Raw genomic sequence first — 12743 nt, forward strand, 5'->3', positions numbered from 1 at the left:
CTGGTGTCTTAGAGAGCAGGGGTAGAAAAGTGTTTCAGGAAGACAAAAAAACAAATATGAAGACACAAAGGCAAGAAAAAGCAGAGGTGCCCTCTTCAAAGAACTCTAGGAAGTTCAATAAGACCGGAAGATAGTGTGAATGAGAAGAGCAGAGTGGCGTAAGAATGCAGAGGGAGGTTGGGACCAGGGCATAGAAGGTCTCACATTTGCTATGAGGAAGCAGCACAATTCAGTGGCTGGAAGCACAGGTGAGGAAAGAAGACTCCCCAGGTTCAAATCCCAGGTCTATTCTTACTACTTAGATGGCTATAGGCAAGTTAGTTAACGTCGAGATGTCCCAGTCTCCTCATGTGTAAAAATGAGGCTTACATAAATTCGTATCTCATTTGAGAATGAAGTGAAATAATACATATAAAATGCTGGCTGGGCACAGTGGCTCACACCTGTAATCCCAGCACTTTGGGAGGCTAAGGCAGGTAGACCACCTGAGGCCAGGAGTTCCAGACCTGCCTGGCCAACATGGTGAAACCCCGTCTCTATTAAAAATACAAAAAAATTAGCCAGGTATGGTGGCGCATGCTTGTAATCCCAGCTACTTGGGAGGCTGAGGCAGAAGAATCACTTGAACCCGGGAGGCAGAGGCTTCAGTGAGCCAAGATGGCACCACTGCACTAGCCTGGGCGACAGAGAGAGATTCCGTCTTGAAAAATAAATAAATAAAGTTTAGAACAATGCTGGGTATGTAGGAAGTACTCAATAAATGTTAGCTATCATCATCATCAATATCAATCTGTTGGCTTCGACAGTATAAACTAGAAGCAGAAGCCACTAACCCTTCTGTAGTATTTCTTTGTACCTCTCCTCCCCTTTCTACTTTATAGTATAGCCATCTATCTTCCCTTAGTAGACATTTTTAGATCTCTCCACAGAGCTAAGCAAAATATCTTGTATCTGTAGAGTAGGCACTGAAAGATTCGAGAAAAAGCTAAACCCAATCAATTAAATCTTCAAAACTGTGGCTTAAGGAATAACTCTCCAACTTGCTAATGGCACTAAAATATGCAGTAAATATGCAGTAAAGCTTAGCTACATCAATGGAAACTGCACTATTTTTCTAGTTAATACACAAATGACTCAGCACATTTTTCGAGCACCTCAGACTTCACAAAAGCATGAAAGGAGTAGCACACAGAGAAAATAAACAAAGTATTTGAAAATTATGAATATAAGATTTGGCAAACTGCTTTTATCCAACAGATCTGTATTTTAATGACTTCTGTCTCAATGATACCCTTCAGCACCTCAAAAACCACAAGGAATTGGCCTGGAATCAGAGTCCAAAAAAAAAAACAAAAAACAACAGTCCAGGCAGGGAGATGATAAACTGAACAGAACAATGCCAGGACTGAGAATCTTGGCCAAGTTGTGGTATTAGAATGGTATTGTATTTAAAAGCCACAGCTAAAAATAGGCACATAAACAAGGGAACATAATCTTGGGACTCAAGGACTAAAGAAAAAAAAGGAAAGAACATCCAAGGTTTCAGGTATCAATCTACCCAGAGACAGGGCCAGCATTAAGCAGAAGCCAAATAACAGGGATCTACACAAATCCAAACAAGCATGCTACTGACATTAGCAGCCTAGCACCAGGGGGCAGAAACTCAGAGTCCGGCACACAAGAAAGAGACCACAGGTCAGACAGTGTCTGTTAATACAACAACTCAACGATGAGCAGACTAACTTTTTTAATAAGCATGGGTAAATATACTTTAAATCCAGTCTAAATAAGGAGATACTTCTTGATCCACTCCATTCTTTTTCACAGGGATAGCAGCAGTTACCAGAAATACATCCAAACATGCTTATTGGAAGCAGGCACCGCATACCAAATAACACCTCCCCAGCCTGCAAAGTTCCCTTTGAAGAAGGCTTCTGTTTCCATTACTAATGTGGAAAATACAACTCCCTCTCAATGGCTTCTAGTATCACGTCACAAGGGCCTGGAGATGGACCAGTAGACTTTTCTCTAGGCCTGTTTAACTTGCAGTATCAGAAGTGGGGACTGGGAGGGGAGCAGTAAAACATTTGGTTTGCTCCCTTTTTCCAATTTGGGCTTGACTGAACCAAACTTGTTCACTCATATCTCATGCTATCCCAAAACAAGTAAGGCAACTATCAGGATTCATCTCTGCAAAGACATTTCTAGTCATTTACAAACAATTACCAATGCCAGGAGGAACAGCACTCAGCTGTACTTGCTGGTACTTCTCAGGCTGGGTATCCAGGCTATTATAGATATATCTGATGATTGTTTCACTAACTTTTGAAGAAATTTCTTATACTCAGAGAAAATGGCTCTCTGAGCCTAAGTTTCTTCATTTGTAAAATAAGCATAACACCAATCTCACTAGACTGCTTAAAAAAAACTAAGAGTATTTTTAAAGAGTCTAACACAGCCTTACTTATAGGAGATAACAATGCTAGTGTACCTCTTTCCTCAGACGCCAAGGGAACATACTGAACGTGGATTCCAGGTGCTATGGTTTGAGTGTTTGTGCTCCAAAACTTATGTTAAATTTAATTGCCGTTACCACAGTATTAACAGGTGGGACCTTTAAGAGGTGATTAGGCCATCAGGGCTCAGCCCTCATGGGTAGGATTAATGTCATTATAAAAGGGTGAGTTCAGCCCCAGCCATCTCTTGCTCGCCCTTGTACCACGTGATGATACAGCAAGAAGATCCTCACCAGATGCCAGCACCTTGACATTGGCCTTCTCAGCCTCCAGAACTGTGAGCCAATAAATTTCTGTTCATTGTAAGTTTCCAAGTCTGTGTTACTCTGTCACAGCAGGACAAAACAGACTAAGCCATAAGGTTTCTACTAAGTAAGGTTTCTGGGATCTAGGAGGCAAGGAAGCTAGGTCATGTAGTTGTGTTAAGTCAACAGGACCAATATGGAAAACTGAAGGAGCTGACAACTACAACTGATGCAAGAAGGATGAGTACTCAATACTTTTTCAGGATGACTGACACTTACTCAAAGAGCCTGGGGAGGGGAAAGAACGCTGGGCTTAGGGTCAAGAACCTATGTTTATTTATTTATTATCATTATTATTACTTTTAAGACAGGGTCTCACCTCTGTAGCCCAGGCTGGAGTACAGTGGCATGATTACTACTCACTGCAGCCTTGACCTCCTGGGCTCAAACAATCCTCCATCTTCAACCCTCCCAGTAGCTGGGACTATAGATGCACACTACCACACCCAGCTAATTTTTATTTTATTTTATTTTTATGTATTTATTTATTTTCTGTAGAGACAGGGTCTCACTATCTTGACCAGGCAAGGTTAGTCTTGAACTCCTGGGCTCAAGCAATCCTCCCGCCTTGGCCTCATAAAATGCTGGAATTATAGCATGAGCCATTATGCCTGGCCAAGGACCTAAGTTTAAATCTTAGCTCCACTAGTCACCTGTGTGACTGCAGGCTAGTCAGTTAATCTCTAGAAGTATCTTCATCTGTAAATGAAGATACCATCTATCTTACAAAGATTTATTTGTTTGAGTTCTGTTTTGTTTGCTTGTGGATTTAAAAAGATAGCACATTTAAAAGCACTTGAAAGTTCTTGGCTCATGACAGGCACTTAAATATTTTTCCCTTATTATCTTAAGCTTTTGGGAAATACTATGTTAGAACTTCTCAGGTCTAAGAGAAAACCACTGAGTAAGACCCTTGGGTTCAGAAGCAACCACTGAAACTAACTCAGCAATGATCCACAAGAAGAGTTTTCTGAGGCGGAGGTGGGAGCACTGCTTGAGCCCAGGAGTTAAGCTGCAGTGAGCTATGGTCACACCACCACTGCACTCCAGCCTGGGCAACAGAGCGAGTCTTAGTCTCTAAAAACAAAATAAAATAAGAATAATAAATAAATAGAAGAGTACTCTGGGTCTAGGAACCAAACTCAGGCTTTGAATTCTGATGAAATCCAGGACTAATTCTGTGAGTCTAGTGAACCACAGCACAAAACCTTCAAAGCTCAGAAGACATAGAGAAAGATACCCACACAAGTGACTGGAAAACAAGAGCAAGTGATACAACGGGACACTGGAAATGACAAGGAAAGAGCCGATGCACACACTGTTGTGGCAGTATACTAAAGCATTCCTGTACCTACCTATATTACAGTGACATCTACAGCAGGAAACTGACTGTAAGTACAAGAGAAGGGCTGTCCCATTACACACCAGATGGTTTGAGTTCTGATTCTTAAAAAGAAACGATGTTCTTAGGGGCAAGAAGAAAAAAATACTCAGAAATTTAGGAAAAAGAAACACTTAAAAGATTTATTTTATGATGAGGATTATTTAGACTAGAAGTCCAGAAAGGGATTCTAGATCAATAATCACCTATCTTGACACAGGTTGAAATGAAAGTTAAACAAAATAAATAAAACCAAGATTTCCAAATCTGTACTCAACATTTATTCTGTGTGTCTGTGATTTCCTTCCTTGTCATAGCCTGTAATACAAATAACAGCAATCTGGCTTGCATATCAGCACATCACTACTCTAAGTTTATGGCTAGTATTCATAATCGACCATGGTCTTCTTTTTCCCCTTGCTCAAAAATTGGTCTTAGAAGTCTTATTACCCTTACAGTTTTCTAGGCTGCTGTCATGAGATGACTAGAATTTACACCGTAGAGAAAACCCAACCACAACCTTTGGTTTAGACTTGCATTACTTATATTCTTATAACAATTACTTACTTGGCCCTGGACAAAAGCAGTCAAAAGGGGAAACCATTCTGGCATAAGAGGTAAAGGGTAAGCAGAACTGTCTGAGTCACTTGCCATTAGGTGAAAGAAAACAAAGGAGATAAAACTAACCAGAAAAACAAGTCGAAACTGCCAAGCTTTCTACAGCAGTTGCCAAAACAGGAAATTTACTTCCACTAGTCAGATATATAACCACAGAGTCTAACAGATTATAACCAGGAAGACAGGCTGAACAAAGAAAACTTAGACACCAAAATATAAAATAAAATAAAATAAAATCTTCCCTATTTTCCACTGTCAGAGAGATATATAGTTATGGTTACTTTGTTTCAGGAATTTTAAAATTCTAAATATATATTTACAAATAAAAATATGGCTTACAATTGTTAGATATTACTCATTTATCAAATAAAATAATAAAAAGCAAATTAATTTTTAAAAACTTTTACAAGGTACCTGTACAAATACACCAGAGTACCACAAACAGCCTCATGATGAGAATAAAATGAAGATGTTAAAAATAATGCTCTATAAGTGTATTCATTGACACAGAAAGTTCCTCATGACATAATTAAGTTTAAAATGTGGGTTACAAAACAGAATGTTCACTGTGATCTAGTTTTTTTGTGTTTTTAAAAGCCTAAAGGCAAAACAACTATTAGTTAACATTTTGGTATAATCTGTAGACAGTGAGATTTTGAGTGATTTTTAGTTTCTTCCTTTTGTTTCTCTGTATTTCCTAACTTTACTGCAACACACATATTATCTGAGAAATTAATTCTTTTTAAAACATACTGCAGCTAGTAATCTGCTCTTGGAGTTTATTATCGCCATCAGAAAGAAGCAAGGAGTAAAGTATTGGTCAACTGTAGAAGCTTTGTGTTCAGATTTACCTCTCCAGTCACAGCTGCTTCCACACGGCTGGGTAACCAGAAGTCTGATCTGATGATTTGAGGACCACTACTATATCCTGACAACCTCCCCACTTACAACTCATTAGAGACCTCTACCTTTAACAAACTATTTGCAGATATAGGTCACTCACAGCCAGGGTACCTCAAAATAATCTTTAAAAGCACATGGTCTATTCAACTTTGTACTAGAAATTCCAACCAGAGCAATCAGGCAAGAAAAATAAATTACAGGCATGCAAATTAGAAAGGAAGAAGTCAAACTATCCCTATTGCAGATGACTGAACTTACATATGCAGAATCCTAAAGAATATACCAAAGAAACTACTGAAGCTAATAAATTCAGCAAAGCTGCAGGACACAAGATCAACAAGCAAAAAATCTGTTGTATTTCTACCCAGCAGCAATAAACCATCCAAAAGGAAAATTAAGAAAACAATTCCACATGATAGTATCAAAAAGAATAAGGAATAAATTAAAGGTCTAAGACATATACAAAGAAAACTACAAAACACTGCTGACTCCCATGTTTGTTGCAGCACTGTTCACAATAGCCAAAATTTGGAAGAAACCTAAATGTCCATCAACAGATAAATGGAAAAAGAACATGTGGTACTTATACACAATGGAGTACTATTCCGCCAAAAAAAAAGAATGAGATCCTGTCATTTGCAATAACATGGATGGAACTGCAGGCCATATAAGCTAAGTGAGACAAACTAGGCACAGAAAGACAAACACCTCATGTTCTCACTTATTTGTGGGATCTAAAAATCAAAACAATTGAACTCAGAGATAGAGAGCAGAAGGATGGTTACCAGAGGCTGGGAAGGATAGTGAGAGGGTACGGGGAAGCTGGAAGTGGTTATTAATAGGTACCAAAAAGTTTAAAAAAATGGACAGGGCGTGGTGGCTCATGCCTGTAATCTCAGCACTTTGGGAGGCCAAGGCAGGCGGACCACCAGAGATCAGGAGTTCGAGACCAGCCTGGCCAACATGGTGAAACCCCATCTCTACAACAATACAAATATTAGCCAGGCATGATGGCGGGTGCCTGGAATCCCAGCTACTCGGGAGGCTGGGGCAGAAGAATCACTTGAACCCAGGAGGTGGAGGCTGCAGTGAGCTGAGATCATGCCACTGCACTCCAGCCCGGCCAACAGAACGAGACTCCATCTCAAAAACAGAAAAAAAAAATTAAAAAGAGTAAGACCTAGTATTTGATAGCATAACAGGGTGACTATAGTCAATAATTTAACTGTATATTTTAAAATAACTAAGAGTATAATTGGATTATTTATAACAAAGGATAAATACTTGAGGGGATGGATACCCCATTTTACTTGATGTGATTATTACACATTACATGCCTGTGTCAAAACATTCCATGTACCCCATAAATATATACACCTACTATGTAGCCACAAAAATTAAAATTTAAAATTAAAAAAAACACTAAAAAATTAAAGAGTAACGAAATAAATGGAAATGCATCCCACGCTCATAAATTGTAAGGTTTTTGTGGTTTTGTCTTTTTATATTGTAAAGATGGCAATGCTCCCCCCCGCCCACAAGTGATCTCTAGATTGAATGCAATCCCTATCAAAATCCCAAAAGGCTTTTTTGTAAAAACAGGAAAGCTGATCATAAATATGGAAATGCAAGGGACCCCAAAATAGTCAAAACAATTTTGAAAAGGAAGAACAAAGTTGGAGAACTCACACTTCTCAATTTCAAAACTACAGTAATCAAAAGAATGTGTTAACTGACATTAAGGAGAGACATATAGATCAGTGAAACACAACAGAAAGGGCAGAAATAAACCCATATATATATGGTCAACTGATTTCTGACAAGGGTGCCAAGGCCATCTTCAACAGTGCTGGGAGAACTGAATATACACAGGCAAAAGAATGAGGTTGGATCCTTACCTCACATCATTTACAAAAATTATTTCAAAACGGATCAATGACCTAAATATAAGAGATAAAAATATAAAATTCTTAAAAGGAAACTTAAGGGTAAGTATTTACGACCTTGGATTTGGCAATTGTTTGTCAGATGACATCAAAAACACAAGCAATAAAAGAAAAAGTAGATAAACTGGACTTCATCAAAAAAATTTCTTTGCATCAAAAGAGACTATCAAGAGAGTAAAAATACAACCCACCAATGGAATATTTAAAAATCATATATTTGATAAGGGTCTAGTATCTAGAATATGTAAAGAATTCCTAAAACGCAACAACAAAAAGGCAAACAATTTAATTTTTTTTAAAGGGGAAAGAATTTGAATAGACATTTCTCCAAAGAAGAGAAACAAATGGCCAAAAAGCAAATGAAAAGATGCTCAACATCATTAGTCATTACGGAAATGCAAATGAAAACCATAATGAGATACCACTTCACACCCACTGGACTGGCCATTATCAAAAAGTGGAAAATAATAGGTGTTGGCAAGGATGCAAAGAAATTAGAATCCTCATACACTGCTGGTAGAAATCTGAATGGTACATCTGCTGTGGAAAACAGTTTGGCAGTTCCTTAAAAAATTAAACACAGAATTACCATACGACCCAGTAATTCTACTCATAGGTAAACAAAGAACTGAAAACGTGTATTCAAATAAATACTTGCACACAAGTTCATAGCAGCACTATTCACAATAGACAAATGGTAGAAATAACCCAAATATCCATCAACTGATGAGTAAATAAACAAAATGTGGTGTGCTCTTACCATGGAATATTATTCAGCCATAAAAAGGAATGAAGTACTGATATATGTACAGGGTTTCTTTCTGAGGTAATGAAAATGTCTTGGAACTAGATACAGGTCATGGATGCACAACATTGTGACATATTGTATGCCTGTTTTTTTTTTTGAGACGGAGTCTCGCTCTGTTGCCAGGCTGGAGTGCAGTGGTGCGATCTCGGCTCTCACTGCAACCTCCACCTCCTGGGTTCAAGCAATTCTTCTGCCTCAGCCTCCCGAGTAGCAGGGACTACAGGCACATGCCAACCATGCCCAGCTAATTTTTGTATTTTTAGTAGAGACGGGGTTTCACCATATTGGCCAGGCTGGTCTCGAACTCCTGACCTCGTGATCCGCTTGCCTCAGCCTCCCAAAGTGCTGGGATTACAGACGTGAGCCACTGCGCACGGCCTGTAGGCCATTTTTACGTGATTACTGCACCTGTAGCCCTCGCTACTTGGGAGGATAAGGTTGGAAAACCCCTGAGCCCAGGAGTTCAAGGTTACAGTGAGCTATGATTGTGCCACTGCACTCCAGCCTGGAAACAGAGCAAGACCTTGTCACTAAAAAATAAAATAAAAATATTTTATTTTATAAAAATAAAATATTTTAATAAAATTAAAATACAATGGCTTATGGTTAACTTTAAGTTATACATGCCTCAATAAAATAATACCAAAACAAATCATGGTCTAACAACCTAAAATATTTTAAACAATTTATTTTCCACTCAGAAACCATCATAGGTTTTTAAATAGATTCAAAGCTGTTTCATCATAGCATTTTTTAAAAAGCTACTCTCCAAAATACTTCAAAGAGTAGTATTAATAGAATGCCCTATTTCTTACCAGAAGACTCTTTTCCATTCTGTTTTTCATAGAGGGTACCCACAGACATCAGGAAAACAATAACCAGGAATACTGGAATTCTCCATGAGCCAGCCAGGGATGCTGCAAATTATTAAGAATTAACATTTTTAGTGAAATAAAAACCTAGTACTTGTTTTTACAAAACTCAGTTTTGTAGTTTGACAGAACAATCTGGTATATATATTAGTTACAGAATTACTTATCAGGCAAAAAAAAAAAAATTTAAGTCCATTAGATAAACTTCAAGATTTCTCAAAATTAAGTTCATCCCTGCTCTCAGAGGCCCCTGGTCAAATGGATAGGGTACATGCCTGCCTACCTTTAATGGGGTTCTATTAAAGAGAGTCTATTGTAACGTATACCAAAGGTCTAAAACCATCCCGAACTCAAACCATCTACTTCACCCCAGAATGACCAGAATTAGGCATAGATCTCAAAGCCATAAAGTCTGCCTTGGTTTCTTGAAAATACCACCGGGCGTGAACTTTCTCTCCCAAGAAAGAGAATGGCCCAAAAGAGCACAGCAAAACCATCAATGTCTCCTCCTCAGTGTATAATGCAAAAATGTTTACAAGTTGGCTGGGCGCAGTGGCTCACACCTGTAATCCCAGCACTTTGGGGGGCTGAGGCAGGTGGCTAATTTGAGGTCAGGAGTTCGAGACCAGCCTGGCCAGCATGGTGAAATCCCATCTCCACTAAAAATAAAAATAAAAAAAAAAAATTAGCCAGGCGTGGTGGTACATGCCTGTAATCCCAGCTACTTGGGGGGCTGAGACAGGAGAATTGCTTGAACCCAGGAGGTGGAGGCTGCAGTGAGCCAAGATCACACCACTGCACTCCAGCCTGGGCGATGGAGTGAGACTCTGTCTCAAAAAAAAAAAAAAAAAAAGTTCACAAGTCACCAAGAAACAGGTCCCTACCCATAACCATTTCCCTGAGTCCACCTAGAACCTCATAAAACATCCCTGCCTGCCTGCCTCCCTCCTCTGCCTTCCCTGAGTTCAAAATGAGTCATATCTGACATACGGGTTCTTGCAGATAAATTCCTCTATCATTCCAACTCAACAAAGCTAGAGAATAATGCTTTGTTTGACATCAAACGAAGACAGAGACATAGCTGTTTTTTATTTTATTTTTAACAATAAGTAGTAGCTCTAGAAACTACTTTAAGGCTATCTGCTGCTCTGGGTTACTGAATTGTGTTGTTAAATTAGAACTTAGTGTTTCCATTGGCTCAAACTTGGGAGATGAAAGTCTCAACCATAAGTACCACGCTGAAAAATCAACATCTGAGCAGCCACCCAGCTAACATAACAGGGAACCCATTACTCTGAGCAGCTCTGACATGAATCATCCTTATGTGGAAAAGAGATTTGTCTCTCTGAAGCTAACTCACAACTCTGACATCTCTCCCTCATGGTTACAGAGATCTGTTTAAAGCACTCTTTCACAGGACAGTCCTTCAAATATTAGAAATAGGCTTTCATGTCTTATATCCTCCTTACCTCTATCTCCTTCCCACCCTAGAGCCCCAGTTCCCTCCTCTTATCCAGAGTAAACATCTCTAGTTCCTTTAACTGGTTCTCACACATGTCTCTGAGCACCTCTTATCGTTGACTGCTTATCTATATCTTCCCCTAAGTATGACACTCAGAAATGATATGAGAATCCAAGGGTGCTCTACTTTTTAAGATGTATTGACTTTTAAAAGGACCTTTTGGAAAATGAACATAATTAAAGACATTTTAAAGCACATCATTTTCATTAAAATTTAATGAAAGATTAAAGCATAACATTTTCTAAAGATTAAGAATGTTAAATGCAACATATGACACTACAAAAAATTCACTTTCATTCACACAGTCAGCCTCTGCTGACCTTAGGCTAGACTTAAAAAAAAAAAAAAAAAAAAGAAGGAACCCACCTAAATGAAAAAGCAATATAATCCAGACAGGAATTGAAACTGCTCTCAAGTAGCGTTCAGTGCTTGCATTCCACTTGAATGAAACAGTCAACACATAGCCAACCACCAACGTCCAGATCTTAAATAAATGAAAGACACAGCTGTAAAATCTATACACGTGAAAATGAACATACAATTATACAAAATCTGTAAGTGTCTATACAGCAGGAATGCTCTGGACATAGCACAGAAAAGATGAAGGTTGATGGTGTCAAAGAAACGTACCTAGGTTCTCCTCGTTTGGAGAACCTAAGTTTTGAAATACTAGGCATTTGAAATCTCATGTAGTAATATTAAATAGTTGTTTAACAAAAGATACATAGTTCAAAACCCATCTTATACACAAAAATGCTTGAGATAAAATATTCAAAGCATAAACCATGGATTTAAATTAAGAATCTAATCTTATGGAATTCCTACAGTTTTCTCTGTTGATCAATGTTTAGAAAAGAAACGGAAAGAAAAGAAAAAAACAAGAAAAGGAAAGCTTTCCAAAAAGAATCAGGTTAAAAGATTCTATTTCAGCTTATAAAATATGCTTGTTACTGGGGAAATAACTCTGTAAAAGTAAGAAAGCAGCCAGCTGAAGTGTGACCCTGCTGAAATAATCTAGGCAACAAATGATTAGAACCTAATCCAGAGTTATGATGCACCAGCTGAAGAAGTGTGCCTGAAAAAAATATTATTAGAGGAACAAACAGCAGGACTTCAGAACAGAAGAATCAGCCAGGATACCCTCTTCAGTTCTTCCTACACTAAAGTTAAATGACCCTAGAGCTTAAGACGCATCAAAAGAAACCAGCGTAGCCTACACAGAAACTCATATTTTAATAGAACATTTATAAAACACAGAGGGAATACATAATCCAGAACACATCTGAGCACAAAGACCTTAATTAACATAAGACCAAGAAGCTAAAAGTCAAGTATGACATGAACCTTGCCAAAAAAAAAAGCAAATTAAGACAAAAAGAAACTTCGAGCTATATAATTCAGAGCATGAAGAAAAAAGAACTGATGGGATTACTAAAAAAGACAGAAAAAAACTATCTCCTACGTTATTTTGGTCAAATCTATCAATACAAATAATCTTCGCATCTTAAAAATGTTTATAGCTTCTAACCTCAGAATTCAACTTTCAGACTTTATCCTTACTAAATAATGATAAATTTTGAAAAAGTTTTAAATATAAAGAAGCTCATCAGAGTATGATTCAGAACAGTGAAAAAAGTGATTACCTAAAAGGTCAACAACTGGGAAATGATTACGATTCACTCAATAAAATGTTATGCAACCATTAAAATCACTTCTTAAAAACAAAGACTATATAGTTTAAAAACTCACAATATCATATTAAGTTAGAAGTAAAATACAAAAAATACTTGTGCTGTGATTACATCTACTATATGGTGGGAGGAAAAGAAAATGTACTAAGAAGTTAGTGGCTGTATTTGGGTGGTAAAATTT

The 12743-nt window shown here is 37.9% G+C and overlaps 1 protein-coding gene across 11 annotated transcripts in view; it reads right to left on the bottom strand.

Moving 5' to 3' along the window:
* Positions 1-12743, bottom strand: part of TMEM245 (transmembrane protein 245) — a 104813-nt gene that overhangs the window by 82081 nt on the left and 9989 nt on the right. For all 11 annotated transcript variants that reach the window (NM_001438169.1, NM_001438166.1, NM_001438172.1 and 8 more), the window contains exons 2-3: positions 11238-11355; positions 9293-9394 (exon numbers count right to left, since the gene is read on the bottom strand). In NM_001438169.1, the coding sequence (NP_001425098.1) occupies positions 9293-9394; positions 11238-11355 (220 nt within the window). The remainder of the gene's footprint in view (positions 1-9292; positions 9395-11237; positions 11356-12743) is intronic.

The sequence above is a fragment of the Homo sapiens genome, chromosome 9 (assembly GCF_000001405.40).
Source record: "Homo sapiens chromosome 9, GRCh38.p14 Primary Assembly".
Classification (NCBI taxonomy): domain Eukaryota; kingdom Metazoa; phylum Chordata; class Mammalia; order Primates; family Hominidae; genus Homo; species Homo sapiens.